Genomic DNA, 19,650 nt, shown 5'->3' with positions numbered 1-19,650 from the left:
GAATTCGTAAAGAATATTTTTCCCTAGAATTTCTGAATGTCTTTTCTTCCTTGTTGAGAGAAGTAATATTTGCACTTTTTACCGTATTCCTAGTATCATCTAGCTTTTTAGTCATTCTAGACTCCATTCATGCTATTGAAGACATACTTGAGATCACAAACTTGCCACTCCAGTTTGTGCTGACATATTTCTAGACTACTGCATAGCTGGCAATACTGAGGGCCCTTTCCTCTCTTCCTCCTTTCCTTTCTTTTTTCTACATTACATCTACTTCTTTCTTCATTTGCAAGCCTGTGTGCTGGGGCGCATTCTCAAAAAACTTTGTTTTAAAAAAGTTCACCAAAAGTAAACCACTGGAGTCTTTACAAGCCCCTTGTACTTGATTGGTCATTTAGTGAAATACATAATTTTAGTGGACACTCATTTTTCCCTTAAATTCAAAGGCCTTGCTCTGTGGCTTTCTAGCATCTACTATTGCTGGTGAGAAGCCTGATGCTAGTCAAATTCTCATTCCTTTCTAGTTGGCCTGAACTTCCCCATCTGGGATATTTTTTATCAACTCCTCGTTATCTGTGATGATTTAAAATTTCATTTTGGACCTAGGTCTAGTCTTTTTCATTCATGCTGCTTGGAACACAATAGGCCTTTTCAACTTGAACTGATCGCTGTTCAATCCTGCAAACTATTCTTGTATTTGTTTCTGTGTACCTCCTATTTTTTCCTTTATCTCTATCTTGAATATCAGTTAGTTGAAAGTTGAAACTTCTTTGCTGAGTCAGTCCTTTTCTCTTTCTCTCTCCCTCTCCTCTCTCTCACCCCACATAGTGGACACTTGATTTATGAGAGATGTAACACTGCAGTGTTGTAAAGAAGGGGTCTTTTTCGATACACTGTTCTGGGTTAAATATATATCCATACAGAAAAAAAGTTAATCTTAATTTCAGCCTCACACTATACACAAAAATAGATTCTGGGTGAACTGTAGATCTAACTGTGAAAGATTAAAAATGATAAAAACATAGAAGGTACCTTTATGATTTTTGTTTAGGAAAAGATTTCTAAAACTGAACACAAAAAGCATACAAACCATTATAAGGACTAATTAATTGGGCATAAAAATTATAAACTTTGGATAATCAAAAGAAACTACTACTGAATAAAAAGGTAAAACAAAGAATGGGAAAAGATATTTGCAATACAAATAATCTACCAAAGGGTCATATCCAGAGTATATCAAGAATGCCTCCATATCTCTAAGCCAAAGACAGAAAACTCCCAGGAAAAATAGGCATCGTTTTAGAAAAAGTTCACCCCCAAAAACTATGCAAAAGCCAATATACCATATATAATAGTGTTCAATCTCTTTTGTCATCAAAATAAATTTTAAATTAAGACCACTTAATCTTAATTGCAATCTAGACTACTGCATAGCTGGCAACACTGAGGGCCCTTTCCTCTCTTCCTTTCTTTTTTCTATATTACATCTACTTCTTTCTTCATTTGCAACCCTTTGTGCTGGGGTGCATTCTCAAGTAACTTTCTTTTTAAAAAGTTCACCAAAAGTAAACCACTGTAGTCTTTATAAGGCCCTGTACTTGATTGGTCAGGTAGTGAAATATATAATTAATATATATATGTTAATATATAAATTAATATATAAATAATAAACATATAATTCATATAAGATTTCATGTAGTGAAATCTTAATTGCAATTAAGATTAAGTGGTCTTCTTGGCAATACCCACTAAGGCTAAAACCATGCATGTCTTATGACCAGCAATTCCATTCCTTGGCATATTATAAAAATGCATACATCTGTGCACAAAAATGTCACATACAAATATATTCATAGCAGCATTATTCATAACCCCAAATGTTTACCAACAGTAGAATGAACACTAAATTGTGCTATTATGCCCACCAAAAGGATGAATCACACAAACATAGGGGTGAACAGAAGTCAGACAAAAAGACTATATGATTTCATTTACACAAAATTCAAAAGCTGGCCAAACTATCTGTTACAAATCAGAAGGAAAAGAGGTTGCTAGGGGCCAGAAGGGAACATGATGTAGACTTCTGGGGCGCTGGTCTTATTCTATTTCTTGACCTAGTGGTGGTTACATGGGTGTTTCCTTTGTGTTAATTAATGAAGCTGTAAATTCATAATTTGTGGGTTTTTTTTTTTTTTTTTTGAGATGGAGATTCACTCGTGTTGCCCAGGCTGGAGTGCGATGGCACGATCTCAGCTCATTGCAACCTCTACCTTCTGGGTCCAAGAGATTCTCCTGCCTCAGCCTCCCAGTAACTGGGATTACAGGTGCCTGCCCCCACGCCTGGCTAATTTTTGTATTTTTAGTAGAGACAGGGTTTCACCATGTTGGCCAGGTTGGTCTTGAACTCCTGATCTCAGGTGATCCACCCACCTCAGACTCCCAATGTGCTGGGATTATAGGCATGAGCCATCACGCCCGGCCATGATTTGTGTTCTTTTCTGTATATATTTTATAATAGAGTAAAATGCTTATTTTTTAAAAAACAATTTTGTGGTGACTTCCAATTTGAAGACATTCATATAAGATTGGCACATCCCTTTTACCCCCTGAAAATTATCACAAGACAAGAAAGAAAACAAGTAACAAAAACACAAATTCCATTTTCAGTAAATCAGAGAAGAGCTAAAAATCCTAAGCCACAAAATGTGTGGAATAATGCCCAAAGCAATTGTCATCAAGTAGAATGTATAGAGAAGGAGACAGGTGATGCTACTAAGATGTAAATCTCAGGAAGAAATTGCAAAGCATACTTCTTGATGGTGAGCTGTGCACTTTTGAATAGTATTATAGTGCCAGTCAAGTTGAAGAATTATTTTGAGACCAATTGTTCATAGTTTAAAGAAAAAAGATTTTAAAATTATAAACCTATATGTGATGAGCCAAAAAAATTATTTGTTGCAGCCTTTCAAACTCAAAGCTAGATAAATGCATTAGTTAGAGAAATGTACACAAAAACCTAGAGACTAATAAAATTTTATACAGTTGACACTGATGAATGCACATCCTGAGGTCTAAGACCTAAATATTCCATTTGCAGTAATCACCCATGGAAAAAAATTTAGCCAATGAAATCATGGCACTTTCCAATAATAAAATAACTTGTTAGATTTTAAATGTAGCTGCAAACATAAAGACTCAGTTCATAACTCATCTGCAGAATTATACTTTTGCCTTGTAAATGGCTCAAAACTTTTCAAAGAAGCATGCCTAGATTACCTTTTGTTTTTATTTTTAAAATTTGTACGGGTACATAACAGTTGTACTACAAATGGCTCAAATTTACAGATGTGGCTAGACTTGCAGTTTTGCTTATATTTGTCTAACAGTATCAGCACCAACTATTCAAAGATCTCTTCCTATGTCAATGATTGGCAACTTTTTCTGAATCTAATGGTTTATCCTGGAACAAATGTGTTAGCATTTGGCATTGATGGCACAAAAGCAATGGTAAGTTTAATGGCCAGTGCCTTAGCAGAAATGTAGGAAGGTAGTGGCACCAAACCATCCTAGCAGTGCTTGCATTCTTCATTGCCATGCCCTCATAGTAGAATGAACACATTGATTCAAATGTCAGTTTCACTTAAGAATATCCTTGATGGGCCAGGCGCAGTGGCTCACACCTGTAATCCCAGCACTTTGGGAGGCCGAGGTGGGTGGATCTCCTGAGATCAGGAGTTTGAGACCAGCCTGACCAACATGGAGAAACCCCGTCTCTACTAAAAATACAAAATTAGCCGGGCATGGTGGTGCATGCCTGTAATCCCAGCTACTCAGGAGGCTGAGGCAGGAGAATCACTTGAACCCGGGAGGCGGAGGTTGCAGGGAGGCGAGATTGCGCCATTGCACTCCAGCAGCCTGGGCAACAAGAGCAAAACTCCATCTCAAAAAAAAAAAAAAGAATATCCTTGATGAAGCAGTAAAAGTTGTTAATGTTATTAACTACTGACCCTTGAGCACACACTTTTTTCATCTTTTCTGTGATAAAATGGGAAGCACACAAAAAACACTCCTGCTGCATACTGAAGTGCAATGGCTGTCTCCAGGAAAAGCACTTCAGGGATTCTTTGAGTTGCAAGCTGAATGAGCACTTTTACTTTTTTTTTCATGGACTGCCATTTTTACTGAAAGAACAGCTGACAAGACAAAATGTTTTCAGACTTAGGTAGGAGGCAAACATTTGTTCAAAAATGAAAGAAGTATACCTGACTTCCAGGGAAACAACTGACGGGTGTGCTGCCAAAGATAAAATTCAAGTTTTGAAGTAACGATTTAGAATTTTGGAAAACTTATATCTACCACTATGAACTTTTCAATACTTAGAATTTTCTGATAGGAATTGTGGTGATATTTTAACATTTTTTATATTGTCCAATAAAATGTATACATGTTTAGAAGACCTGCATATTTGAAGTCCATATTTTCCAAATGCCTAATATACAATGTTACAAAATCATGCATGGGTAAAAGATGTCATTCAACAGCAAGACAGACTAATGTATTTTGATATAACAGAGTTCAAAAAGTTTAATGATATAATTTCAGATTCTACTTTGGAATGAACTTTTAAGAAACTACCACTTACGCAGTTCTGGTTTAGTTTCAAAGAAGACTATCCACAATTATCTGAAAAGGCTGTTGAAATACTCCTCCATTTTCTAACTACATATCTGTGTGAGGCTGGATTTTTAAAAAAATTATTTCAACCAAAACATTATATTGCAGCAGATTGTCTGCAGAAGTAGGTGTGAGAATTCAACTATCTTTTATTGGGTCAGACATTAATGAGATCTGTAATATGCTATTTATGTTAACTTGTAATGAGTTTATTACTATTCTTTTTAAATTAATTAATAAACTTTAATTTTTCAGCTTTAATTTCTAATAGAACTGTATTGTTTTCTATACTAATAGATTTGTCTAATTTTTTTTTTACCTAAAGTAAATCTGGATAAATTATATTTTCCCAGGAAATTACAAGTTATATAGAAGTTTTCAAATTTGCTTAAAGTTGAACCAAAAAAATCTTTAAAAATTTAATTTCTTAACATCATTGATTACTTTCTTCTTATCATTTGTGAGAAGTTTTCTTTTTGCTATAACTAATTTTCCTGAAAAAGTTGGCTAATAGTTTTTCCCCTAAAATTACAACTTTCTAATTTTATTGGTTTTGTTTCCTAATTTATTGTATACATATTGTAAAGTGATCTGAAATAATAACATCAAACATACCCCACATATCAATACATTTACATTTAAATCACCTATTACAAGAAAAATACTATCAGGTCTTATAACAAAGAAAACCCAACTCTATGCCCTATGTAAAAGCATATTTAAAATAAAATTATTTCAAAAGTTTGAAAATAAAAACATGCAAAAATGTGTAGCAGGAAAATGTAAACCAAAAGAAAGCAATATTTGTGATCTCAGTATTAGACAAGGTAGAATTCTGGCCAAAAAGTGAAACAAAAGCGGGACCTTTATAATGTTAAAGGGTGTCATTCACAATAAAGATATAATACTTAAGAATATTCATAGTCCAAGTAACATCTTGTCAACAAAAACAAAAACTACAGATATAAGAGGAGGAACAATTATGTGAGCAGCAGAGGACCTCTGTTCGCCTTGTCCAGGTGTTGTCAAACTCTAGCCCATGGGCAAAATCTGGCCACACGTGTTTATGTGGGACTCATGAGCTAAAAATGGTTTTTACATTTTTAATGGTTGGAAAAAAATTAAAAGAATAATATTTTGTGTTACATGAAAATCATATGAAACTTAAATGTCAATGTCCACAGTAAAGTTTTTTTTTGGGTCGGGGATGGAATCTCACTCTGTTGCTTGGGCTGGAGTGCAGTAGCGCCATCTCAGCTCACTGCAACCTCTGCCTCCTAGGTTCAAGTGATTCTCCTGCCTCAGCCTCCCGAGTAGCTGGGATTACAGGTGCCCACCACTATGCCCAGCTAATTTTTTGTATTTTTAGTAGAAACGGGGTTTCGCCATGTTGGCCAGGCTGATCTCGAACTCCTGACCTCATGATTTGCCCACCTCGGCTTCCCAAAGCGTCAGGATTACAGGCGTGAGTCACCGCGCCCGGCCCACAGTAAAGTTTTAATGGAACACAGCCATGCTCATTCATTTACACTGTGACTATGGTTCCTTTTATGCTACAATAGCAAGTTGAGTAGGTTCAGCAGAGACCATAAAGACTTAAATAAGTAGACTTAAATATTTACTATCTGACTATTTACAGAAAATATTTGGTGACTTCAACCTTGTTCATGGATGACCAAGTGGAGAAAATATCTAAGGATAATAAAGTAAATATAGTGGCATCAGTAGCCTCTGTACATAAAAACAACTAATAGAAATAATTTTTTTAAATTATAATACAATAAGAAGATAACATCTCTAAAAATAAACCTAACCAGAAAAGTACAAGACTTATTTGAAGAAAATGTTAAAACACCCTAAGGGATGTGAACTAGAAAATATAAAGGGCATATAATATTCTTGGTTAAGATGATTCAGTAGAATAAAAATGTAAGTTATTTCTAAGTTAATGTCTAAATATAACGTAATCCCAATAAAAATACAGCAGGACTTTTTGGAACTAGACAAGCTGCTTCCAGACTTAACACATAAAAAAGCCACAAGAGAGAGTAATTAATGGGGACTTATCTTTATATTAAGTATATTTTTATAAGGTTACAAAAATTTAAAAAATGTATTGAAACCAGAATGGACAGATCAATTAGAACGGAAAGAAAAGTACAGAAATGGGGTAGCCATCTGGAAAAATTAAATTTATATCCGCTTGTCACACTTTACATATTCCGAATAGATTTCTATAAGTTATTTAAAGAATCTGAGTAGGGAGGACTTTTCTAACTATGACAGAAATCCAAAATCTATCAAAAAGATTAATAATTTCTACTATATAGAAATAAATAACTTCTTCATGGAACAGAACTATCATGTAAAATGTTAAGCAACAACTGAAAAATTAGAAAGCTATATTTACAAATATCACAACTAAAATGTTGATTTTCATAATAAAGGACTTCTACAAATACTTAAAGGCCAAATTTTTTTTTAATCGGGAAAGATTATGAGCAGAGAGTTCACAAAAAGATGTTCAAGCTTAGTCCTCACAAGATATGTGCAAATTAAATTTGAACCTTTTTTTCTCCCACCATGTCAACAAAAGTTTAAAAGATGTTTATAATGTACCTTTGTCAGCAAGGGTGTTGAAAAAAGACCATTTATTAACTGCTGACAGGAGTACAAAGTGGCATAACCTTTTTAGAATGATCTTGGCAAAAAATATCAAATTTTCAAATGAAATCACCCTTTGATCTAGACATTTGCTTTATGGGAATTGACCCAATAGATATACTAGCCTATGTACAAAATGATACAAATGTATAAGATGTACAGATGAATGTAATAGCAAAAGAGTAGAAACAACATAAATAGCTATCAAAGAGACTAATGAATTTAATTATGCTGGACCTATATAAAGGAATATTATACAGCCATAAAAAAGCTGCTTATGTGATGATTTGGAAAAATTGTCAAGATACATTTATATTAATTTAAAGAAAAAAGAGCAAGGAGCATTATTATGTGTACAGTTATACCACTATTTGTATTTTTAAGGGAAAAATATGTCAATGTATCAGTGCATATACCAGGTTGGTTCACTCAACATCCATCTTAAACTCCAAATATGCTTTTCTATATTGAAGAAATTATGAAGATAAAAATGACACTTCCCAAATGTCCTTGCAACTATTGTCCTGGATGGGATTTTAGGTATTATAAATTCAGTGCATTCATGCAAGACTTGGAGGTGGAACTGGGTTAAGCGGTGAGGGAGACAGGTGATTCAAGGCATCTCTTCGGCTGGTGTGATTCTGGCAGAAGAAGTGTGGTTTTTAAGCCTACAGCTGAGCAGAAGCTCTCTATTCTTCAGACAAATTCCTGATCTACAAGTTTCCTTTATAGGAAACAAACAAAAGCTGTGCCTTGGTGGTCCAGTTACATGTGGCTTAGTCATTTCTGGACACAGCCTAGAATTGGTTTCTTTAGCTCTCCCATTGAATTTGAAAGTCCTTTGATAAATCTCATTCTATTTGAATGAACTGGAGTGGATTCTGACCTCTACAATGGAACTCTGACAGTTGATATAAGCATGTAACATCTCTGGTGGGGAACACAAGAAAATGACTCTGGGAGGCAGAATGATGGTCCCCTAAAGATGTTCATGTCTAATCCCCAGAATCTGTGAATATGTTAGATTACAGGGCAAAGGAGAATTAAGATTGCAGACCAGTCCAGGCATGGTGGCTCACGCCTGTAATCCCAGCACTTTGGGAAGCTGAGGCATGTGGGTCAGGAGTTCAAGACCAGCCTGGCCAACATGGTGAAACCCTGTCTCTACTAAAAATACAAAAATTAGCCGGGCATGGTTGTGGGTGCCTGTAATCCCAGCTACTCAGAAGGCTGAGGCAGGAGAATCGCTTGAACTCAGGAAGCAGAGATTGCAGTGAGCCGAGATTATTCCATTGCACTCCAGCCTGGGCAGTATGCCATTGCACTCCAGCCTGGGCAACAAGAGCAAAACTCCATCTCAAAAAAAAAAAAAAAAAATTGCCCACCAATCACCTATCAACTGACTTTGAGATAAGGAGATTATCCTGGGTTATCCAGGTGGGCCTAATGTAATCACAGGGTCTGTATATGCAGAAACGAAGTCAGAGGAGTATGTTTCGGGTCAGAGAGATTTGGAGATGCTACGCTGCTGGCTTGGAAGATAAAGGGAGGGGCCATGAGCCAAGGAATTCAGGTGGCCTCTAGAAGCTGGGAAATGCAAGGAAACAGATTCTCCCTCAGAACTTTTAGAATAATGTATCCCTGGTGACACCTGAATTAGCCCAATAAGACCTATTTTGGACTTCTGACCTCCAGAACCAAAAGACAATAAATGTGTGGTAATTTGTTACAGCAGGAATAGGACACTAATAGACTGGTAATAATTGATTGTTTCTGGGGGGAACTGAGAACTGGACACTTGCAGAGAAGATGGAAAGATACCCTTTCGTATCTTTTGAGTTTTGATTCTTGAGAATAAATTACCTATTCAAAAAAATGAATTAAACTAAAAGAAAAAAACACTCCATACATATTAGACCAATGTAATCTGATCTTTAATGCTGCAGAGAAAAACTAAGAACAGTTCAGTGTTTGTTCCTTTTTAGAAAACTTTCTTTTTCTGACTGAATACTTACAATTATTTTCTCTTCCTAACCCAAAGATGTTACCAGAATTTGTCCAGATACAATTTGTACTATAACCATCTTCAGAAGAATTGGGGAAGATTGAGGAAGAGTCCCTTCTGTCCTGCATGGAGAAGGATCCCTTTGCAATCGCTTCCCATCAGCCCAGGCCAGAGCTCCCTGGGTTTCACTGGTTCTGGGCCAGTATTTAAAATGCCAATTTCCATGTATCATTCAGGTGGTGTGAATTACAACCTTACAACCTAAAGTGGGGTTTTTTTTTGTTGTTTTTTGTTTGTTTGTTTTTTGTTTTTGAGGCGGAGTCTCGCTCTTTTGCCCAGGCCGGAGTGCAGTGGCGCTATCTCGGCTCACTGCAAGCTCCGCCTCCCGGGTTCACGCCATTCTCCTGCCTCAGCCTCCCGAGTAGCTGGGACTACAGGGGCCCACCACCGCGCCTGGCTAATTTTTTGTATTTTTAGTAGAGACGGGGTTTCACCGTGTTAGCCAGGATGGTCTCCATCTCCTGACCTCGTGAACCGCCCGCCTTGGCCTCCCAAAGTGCTGGGATTACAGGCGTGAGCCACTGCTTCCGGGACTAAAGTGGGTTTTAATGTGGGCATTTGTGCTGTTTCCCTGAATCTACTCAAACCAGTGGACAGTGTATTTCTAGTCCCCAGTTTGTGGACAAGCCCACTCTGAATCCCCATTTATATAGTTAGCTGGTTTCTGACTTTCCCTACCTGCAGGGCCCTCTTTCCAGACTGTTCCTTGAGTCTGGTACTGAAGTCCCAGTTCCATCTGTTAAGGCCTAATTTGAATTCCTCTCCAGTGAAGTCCTCAGGTTCAGGCCCTGCTACAAATCTCCAATTTGCTTTGGCAATTTGGAATTTTCCTTTCCTGGTTTCAAGCTCAGCTACAAATTAAAACAATTTTTGTACTATTTACCCACCACTGTTAATGTGTTTGGATTGCGAAGGGCAGAGGCATCACTCATGTCAACTCCATCCAAGCAGTCCAGCAGGCTGACTAGAAGCATCAATTCTGCATTTTAAGTTCCTGGCAATACTTTCTTATCACACCCAACATAAAGCTTAACAGCAGAGCCTTTAGAATTGGATAGATCAGGATTTGAATTAGTAGTGGAATAGTACACAAGTTACATAACCTCTCTGAATGAGCACCTTGCCTCATTTATAAATGTGCATAATGACACTCCCACAGGATTTTCCTGAAACATAAATGAAATCAAGTAAGATAGCTGTGGCACACAGCATCAGGTGCCACTCATCCCCTTATTATCTGGCACTTCCTGAGTCATAGCTTTCTGCTGTCGTGTGAATCTTGATGGCCTGGGCCCTGCTAAGGGTAGCAAACAATCATGTTGAGTCTCCTCCAGTTCACTGAAGGGTAAATCTTCCTCTCAGTCTCCAGGACAGCATTCCACTGTGCTCTTCTAAGAATGTTTTCTCTCACATGAACCATCTGTTGTTTCTTATTTTACATTGTTGACTCTGTCTAAATAAACAGGGTCTCCTCCTACCTAGTACCTGACAATTGACAGGGTGTGTGCTCTCCTCTTAGCCATGGTACTGTCCCTTCTCAGATTTCAGTGATCAGTGTATGAATCTCTGAGTGGAGTTTCTGGACTCTGGCAGGCATTTGACCAAGACAAGTCTGCTTCACTGAGGCTGGTCCTTGTCATGACCCAATTGTCTCATCTCTAATACTCGGATGCAACACACACACACACAAATTCACACACACACACACACACACATCCCACCTTCACTACCACAGATGATTTTTCTCCATTCCCACCTATAAGTAGTATAATTATTTGGGATTTGAGTAGTAATATACCAATCCAGTTCCCCTACTATGGGGAATTGTGTGTTAGAGGAATAGGAAAACAGAAGATAATAGTAGAGGAATTGCATCCCACTTTTTAATTAGTTGTTATCGACCCTGTATCTCTGCACCAGGTGCAAGGTGGTATGGGAGGGAAAAATCAGATTTCTTTTCAGGCTGGAAGGTTTGCTCTGTTTCAAGAGGCAAAACATACATTAAAGCCCAGTTGTGATTCTTGGCTCTGCTCCATAGATCTCTTTTTGTATTCTGACAATAGGTTCACTGTAAGGTAATGGATGTGCTTTGGTCAAGGATAGGCCAAAGTAGGGTGTTTACGTTCTGCGGGACTCAGTGAGTTTAGAGCGCAGGTGTATAACTCTATTTGTTATCACAGCCATGTAGCCATGGGAAGGCTCATCATTTGGCTCTGAGCCACTACTGTCTATAAAAGGTATAATTGCCATGTTGACACTGTATAGCTGCACTCATGCCCAGAGAAAGAAAGAGTTAATCTGCTCACCCTGAAGGGAGAGCTGGCTGCGCAGCTGTGTGTGGCAGTGGTCACAGCAAGGAGCCAAGACAGAGCAGTCTGTCTAAGAGAGCTGCTGATGAGAGAGCTGCTGAATAAAGCTATATTTCACATACCTACAGCCCCCCGAACGTTCTTTCAGCTCCCTGCTCCCCATCCACCCACACCCCTCCGACCTCAGCATGGGCTGGAAACTGACCCTGGACCTAACATTCACTGACATCACTTTTTAGCAAGACAGGCATTTATAGTTTTCTGTATATATTGTTTATGTAGTAGTAAGAGGCTGCATCTGGGACCAGTAATCCTAAATGTTACTTTGAATTCAAAATTTAAATACAGAATTTAATAATTTTAATCCCAGCTGAAATTTTTATCAAGGCCACAAGAAAATCAAGACAAAATGATAAGAGTATATACTTGAATATAACTGGGCCCAAAGTAGGTAGCATGAAATAAAGGTTTCTTTGCATTGAATTTAAACATGGCCCCACATTGCCAGTGCCAACATCTCAAGGTGTCTGTTCCTACAGAGAATACCTCAGTAATTGTACTAGGTGCATCACTTTAACTCTCTTACTGTGCTATAGATGTCATACAATTGCTCTCTGGTCCTGGCAGGATGATCTATAGTCCACTCTCCACACATGACTAGTCCATTCTGTCATAATGCTCCTGTCATCAATTGCTCTGTTGATAAAATTTGCTTCCCCTGAGTCAATTTACACCTGCCCCATAATATACCTCTCCCAGAAAACAACGCTCTTAATTAACTCATATGCCATCCTGCCTGTGTCCAGCTCCCCTCAGAAGGCATAGATGGATTTAGCTTGTGGCACTTTAATCTGCCTTCATTATTATGCTCTGCTTCTTTTTTTGTTTGTTTTTGTTTTTGTTTTGTTTTGTTTTATTTTGCTTTGTTTTGTTTTTTGAGATAGAGTCTCACTCTGTCACCCAGGCTGGAGTGCAGTGAGTGGCGTGATCTCGGCTCACTGCAACCTCTGCCTCCCAGGTTCAATCCATTTATCCTGCCTCAGCCTCCCTAGTAGCTGGGATTATAGGCGCCCACCACCATACCCGGCTAATTTTTGTATTTTTAGTAGAGATCGGGTTTTGCCATGTTGGCCAGGCTGGTCTTGAACTCCTGGCCTCAAGTGATCCACCCTTCTTGGCCTTCCAAAGTGCCAGGATTATAGCCATAACCCACCGCACCCAGCCTATTATGCTCTTCTTAAAAGATGAATTTTGTTTTTTCTATTTTATTTTTTGAGACAGAGTCTCACTTTGTCACTGAGGCTGGAGTGCAATGGTGCGATCTCGGCTCACTGCAACCTCCACCTTCTGGGTTCAAGCGATTCTCCTGTCTCACCCTTCTGAGTAGTTGGGACTACAGGTGTGCAGCAGCACACCCGGCTAATTTTTGTATTTTTAGTAGAGACGGGGTTTCACCATGTTGCCCAGGGTGGTCTCAAACTCCTGATCTCAAATAATCCACCCACCTTAGCCTCCCAAAGTGCTGGGATTACAGGCATGAGCCACTGCACCTGGCCAAAAAATGAATGTCTATCATTTCAGGGTATATGCCTGTTCTGATTGCCCATGACTAGAAGCTCATGGAAGGTAAGACCTGCTTCCTTGAGGTGTTCTCTGACTCTTCCTTCTCTCTGAATGTAAATATCTCGTACAGTACTCTACATACAGTAACAGTAAATGTTGTTCATCACCTCATGTGTAGATCAATGCTAGTATTGTTTAAAGCTAAGATTACTGAGGAGGTTTTTTGCTGGATGCTAATTTATGCTAATGCAAGGAAAATCAAACAAGTTTTATTTGTTGTTGTTAAGGAATTTTGCCCTTTAGCAAGCCATTATAATATGAACCTCATTGCCATCTGGGTATTAGTGGCAACCAAGTGGGAATTCAGAACCTCCTTCTAACCCCAACACTGAAGTGAGGGAAGTCATCAACATGAATTAATTATCAGCCTGCCAGGAAAGGACTGGAAGGCAAAATTATTATTCTTAAGGCAAGGCAAAATGCAAAACAGATTGGATTTTAAAATTTGGTAATTTCGTAGTTAAAATAGTAAAGAAGGGCTAATGGTATAAAATGGAAACTGAAAAAATGTAATATGCTATGAAAGCCACTGACACGGAACAAGAAAGCTTAGGTTCTAGTATTAAACTGAGATGAAGACTACCTACTCAACTGGATCAACAAACATGGTTTTGTTTAGAGGATGCCATTTTCCACTGTGTGCCCCTGGCTGACATCATTAATTAATCACAGCACCTTTTTCGTGTCTTTTCTATGGTTCTTTCCTCTGAATCATACAGAGGTTCTTCTCAGGTAGCCATTGGCCATCGAATTTGTCATATGCGATAGTTTGGATTTTCATTTAGCAAACATCCATGCCTCTCTCCCTTCCTGTACAAGCAGTGTATATTTCCCTAGCTCACTGATATTGGACTTGGCCCTATGACTTGCTGTGGCCAATGGGATGGGATGTGAAGAAAGGCCTTAAATGCATTTGTGTGATTTGGTTTGTGGCTCTTTTGCTCTGGTATCTACCATGAGAAGATCATACCCCAGATAACCACTGTCTCTTTAGCTTGGGCCTCACTCACAACAAATGTACATAAGAATGCACCTGAACCCGACCTACAGCCTGAAGCAGAACACATGAGCTGAGTGGAAGAATGAGTTCCTGTTGTTGTAGGCCACTGAGTTTTAGGGTCCATCTTGGATGAAACTTATTGGTCATCCCTGCCCTAAAAACTGGGAAAACACAAGGAAATGACTAGGGTAAAGTAAACACATCATTCAGAAGTAATAAGGAGGCAGTATGAAGAAGAAATAGCCATATTGGAAGTTTCAGTCATCGTCTTAGATTTTGACTAATCTCTCAGTCTACGGACAAGAGACTGAGCGATTAGCCTCAGATTCTAGAGTAGATTAGTTTCTAATGAGGCTGAGAGAAATGAAATGGTCTGGGAGAGCTAGGATGTCAACTGAATCTCTTGATTATTAATACTGTACAATAATGTGTGCTTCTAAGAGAGATGCTTTCCTGGCATTCTGAACCAGGGAGAATTGAGCTGCCAAACAGTGTTAAGCAAAGAAGTGGTGACCAGCTCCTCCTGGCTGCTGGGCTGCCGAACTGCCCTGTGTAGGGTCAATGGCTTTGTCCCCAGAGAACCCACCTATGGGAACCTTAAAGAAGAGCAAGCACCCAGTCTGATGTTCAGGCTGTGGCTCAGAAAGCCAATAAAGCAAAATTCTCCCAGGCACGAAGGAAATAAAAGTAAGAAAACAAAACCTCAGCGTAAAAAAAAATCTATAAAATAGTTTGCAAAATAATTTGGGACACCTATGCTTCAGAAAAGAGCCAAAGAGGGGGACGTTAGACATTAACACTTTAACTAAGGCTGACCCAACAATGCAGCAGAGTAAGACGCTGTCTACAGATGTGATTCCAGAAGTATTAGGAAGATCACTCCCAAAGGAGAAGGTTAAAACTCTTCTCCTTTGGCTCAATGCTGGCCTAGCACCAAGCAAAATTAGAGGTGGATGTTAGTGAAATGTCAGTCTGGAAGTAAGACTAGTGTCTTGCTTCTTAGCACCTATCCAAGTGCTTAGCACACAAGAAGCACTCAATAAATATTTTTTGAGTGAAATAATGGAAAAACACATAAATGAATGTTAAATGCCTGTTACCAGTTATCTGATATAGAGGTTTATATTATAGTTTACTATCAAAGGAGTAACTAAGCAAAAACATAAACAGTATTGCAGTCCAGTTTAAATTTTGCTAATTTCTTTCATTAATTCATTTAACAAATGTTGATATTGAATGTCTGCTATGTGCAAGCACTGTGCAATTTGCTGTAGATGAAAATTGAATATATGAAGACCCTGCTCTCAGGTAGCTGATGATAATTTAATGAGAGAAAGAGCTTAAACACATAATCAAACATATATACAAATATAAAATCACTAAGGAAAAGAAGAGGGAGGCATATCAGAGTGGGAGAGTGCATGTAGATTTTGGATGAAAGGATCAGAGAGGCAAACAGTCCCAAAAGGTCCCATTTGATATGTGTGAACTGGAAAAGAAACAGATGTAAAATATCATTTTTTTAAAAGAACATGCATCTGAAATGCAGCAGCTGACTGAGTAACAGGTACACATGTGCAGTGAGCTAAGAGCCCTCTATTTTGGCCCTAGGACCCCTATGATCCCCTGGAAGTGCCCCCAAACATTATCCCATCTAAGCTAAAAGCCAACAAATTACAATTAAATCTTTGAAACTTGATTCTATATTACATATATCAGTTTTTTTGCATAATATGTAGACATCCAAACATACCAAGCAAATAATCTGTATACGAAGACAAAAGATCCAGAGCAGCAAATTCTGGGATATTTGGTAATGCCACTTGGTTAACTTTATGCATTCTAGTATTCTTCTTTCCAATAAGTAAGTTAATTGCCAGCACAGCTTCACTGACCTACAATTAATGCATAAATTAGAATTATAAATATAAGCTTTCTAATTCATAGATTATCTATTAGGTAAATAATGTGAAAAAAGTGAATTCATAAAATAATATTCCTTATACATTGGAGGAAAAAATAAAGACAACCTGAAAAAATAATATGTGATCCCTGATATGTAGAATATATCATAGTCAAACAAATAATTTAGGGTTGACAATTTAATTAATGCATAAATCACTTTAAATAAGCTACCTTACCTAGCTATGACAGATAGTTGCCAAAATGTCAAATATGTACACATGTATATCTGCCAATAGTTTCACTGAGAAAAGGTGAAACAAAGAGAACTAAGTCTGGCTAATAGAGAGATTGAAAACACTAAACATAACTAGTATTTCTAATCTTTCCAAAGAAACATAATTGGCACAAATCCCAAATAATGTAATTTTTTTTTCTTTTTTTCTTTTGAGACAGGATCTCACTCTGTTCCCCAGCCTGGAGTGCAGTGGTGGGATCTCAGCTCACTGCAGCCTCGACCTCCCAGAGTCAAGCAATCCTTTTGCCTCAGCCTTCTGTGTAGCTGAGACTATAGGCATGCCACCATGCCCAGCTAATTTTTAAATTTTTTGTAGAGATGGGCTCTTGCTATGTTGTCCAGGCTGGTCTCGACCTCCTGGATTCAAGTGATCCTCCTGCCTCAGCCTCCCAAAGTGCTGGGATAACAGGCATGAGGTATCACACCCAACTCCTTTCTCTTTTACAGGTATATTGTGTTCTTTAAAGGCAGAGAATACAGATATGACAGTAAGAAGAAAGATTAAACAAAAATCACACCAACCTGTGCAGCAGCTCTTATTGCAATCCAGGCTAATGAACTGTACATTTCAAATTTATTTGCTGATGTTTCTTTAACAGAACTACTTCTTCTGAGAGGAGGCTAAAAATATGGCAAATGTGTTATGATATAAAGTTTTGTGATAACTCTTCTCATCTTCTGAAGATGACATTTTAGTGAAATGCTATGTAGTCACTAAGGATAATAATGTATCTATTGACATGAGAAGATATTCGAAATACATTGAGGAAAGAAAAGTGTAGGTTACAAAATTGTATGAAAAGTACAATCCTTCTTTTTAAAAAATATGCACACATATACATTCCCTGTACATAAAAGCAGAGAAAATTATTAACAGCAGTTATCCCAAGTTTTAAGGTAGTTAAATTATTCTTATCATTTTTTTCTAATTTTCTATAATGAATTTGAATTATTTGTGTAATAAGTTAACAAAAATTATATATATACATTTTTGAGACATAGTCTTGCTCTGTCACACAGGCTGGAGTGCAATGACACAATCTCAGCTCACTGCAACCTCTGCCTCCCAGGTTCAAACAATTTTTCTACCTCAGACTCCCAAGTAGCTGGGACTACAGGCATGCACCACCACACCCAGCTAGTTTTTGTATTTTTTGTAGAAACAAGGTGTCACCATGTTGCCCAGGCTGGTCTTGATCTCCTGAGCTCAGGTGATCGGCCCACCTCAACCTTCCAAAGTGCTGGGATTACAGGCATGTGTCACTATGCCCATCCAAAAATGGCATCTTAAGTAAAATTAAGTGCCATTATAATAGAAAACCTATAAGTTGAATATATTGTGTAACAGCATCAGAAATTACAACATTGCTTAAAGATTTTTGGCAGTATTTGCTATCATATTTCCTGCTAAGAAAAATATTAAAGAGATAGTATTATCATAAAGTTCCATAGAATAGCAAAACAAACAAACAATGATTGAGGATTTTTTTTACCATGGGGGTTTCTTTAATAAAGAATGAATATATATTTTAAAAATATATATTCAGTTTTTAAACATAGAAAGTCAATGCTACAGAAGTGAACAGAACAAAACTCCACCAGTAGCTAGTATCTGCTGTACATTTTTAAAGACAACTAAAATAAGTAGTAGTAGTTTCTTAAGATTTAAATCATCTGGATGGAGCTAACAATTCAATTAGCCCCACGGGTGCTAATTCTTTGATGCCCATATTTTGACCAATTCTTTAATTTTCAATGAACCTGCAGAATAAAACAAACAATAACAAAAGTATCTTTATTTTACTTCTGGCTAGAAGACTCCCAGAGAAAAAGAAAGGCCGTGTACAATGCTGATGTCAAAGCAACAAGTATAAGGCGTAAATGTGGCCTAGCTTAGCTCTAGCATTAAGCCTGGGAGAAGATGACACCTGGAAAGATCTACCTATGGGGAAATCTAAGCAATATAACCCCATTCCAAGATAAAAAAAAGAAAAAAAAAACCCTAATCATTAGCTGTAATGGGACTAATCTGGAGTAACAATTGCTAACTTACTGACTACATAAGCATGGGCAATTTATCTACTTAAATTCTGGTAACAAGACTAACAGGCATGTAATGAAGAATAGAGAACAACATTAAATAACTATAATGTAAGACCAACTAGTGACCCAGCCATTCAAAGAAAAAAGAAGTCAACTCCAATGGAAAGGAAACCTTTATTGAGGAAGTTGGGCTTGAGCCCACCATAGAAAAATTTGGAGTGGACAAAGAATATGGTGGGCGTTTTCCAGATGGGGGAGATGTTCGACATTGCACAGGAGATTCTAGGTTATGTAAACAGGAAAGAAAACCCGGGCAAGGGGTGTGGAATGCATGTAGATTGGAAGTGAAGAAGTAAAGTGTCTTTCTTTGCAGAAGACATGATCCTATATGTAGAAAATCCTAAGGAATACACAAACAGACACACAAACACAATTAACATTATTAAACTTGTTTAGCAAGGTCACAGGACGCAAAACAATGAATACACACAAATGAACTGTATTTTTATATACTAGCGATAAGCAATCTAAAAATTAAAACAAAAATCCCTTTGACAATAGAAATAACAAAAATGTATAAGACTCATACACTAAAAAGACAAAACTTTGTTGAGAGAAATTAAGGTCAGAATAAATGAAGAGACAGTCCATATTCATTAATTAGGGGACTTAATATTGTTAAGATGGCAACAAAAATCTCCTTAGTTTTTTTTGCAGAAATTGACAAGCAGATCCTAAAATAGATAGTGAAATGCAAAGGAGTCAAAGTAGCCAAAACAGTTTTGAAAAGGAAGAATATAGTTGGAACATGCACTTTACAATTTCAAAACTTACTAAAAGCTACAGGAACCAAGACAGTGGAAACTCAAGTAAAGGTAGATTTAGAGGTCAATGAAACAGGATTGAAAATCCAGGAATAAACATTTGCATTTATAATTAATTTTCAACAAAAGTGCCAAAGCAATCCAACGAGAAAAGGATAAGTCTTTGCAACAAATGGTGCTGAGACAACTGCATATTCATGGACAAAAAGATGAATTTAGAATTTAGAATCTTACCTCACACTCTACCCAAG

The 19,650-nt window shown here is 37.6% G+C and overlaps 1 protein-coding gene across 2 annotated transcripts in view; it reads right to left on the bottom strand.

The window, feature by feature from the left end:
* CFAP54 (cilia and flagella associated protein 54) overlaps positions 1 to 19,650 on the bottom strand; it is a 385,979-nt gene that overhangs the window by 94,252 nt on the left and 272,077 nt on the right. For both annotated transcript variants that reach the window (NM_001367885.1, NM_001306084.2), the window contains 2 exons: positions 17,055 to 17,153; positions 16,086 to 16,227 (listed from right to left, as the gene is read on the bottom strand). In NM_001367885.1, coding sequence (NP_001354814.1) covers positions 16,086 to 16,227; positions 17,055 to 17,153 — 241 coding nt within the window. The remainder of the gene's footprint in view (positions 1 to 16,085; positions 16,228 to 17,054; positions 17,154 to 19,650) is intronic.

This window comes from Homo sapiens, chromosome 12 (assembly GCF_000001405.40).
Source record: "Homo sapiens chromosome 12, GRCh38.p14 Primary Assembly".
NCBI classification, from domain to species: Eukaryota; Metazoa; Chordata; class Mammalia; order Primates; family Hominidae; genus Homo; species Homo sapiens.
Note: the sequence above shows the minus strand (reverse complement) of the source record. Positions and strands in the feature narration are given on the sequence as shown.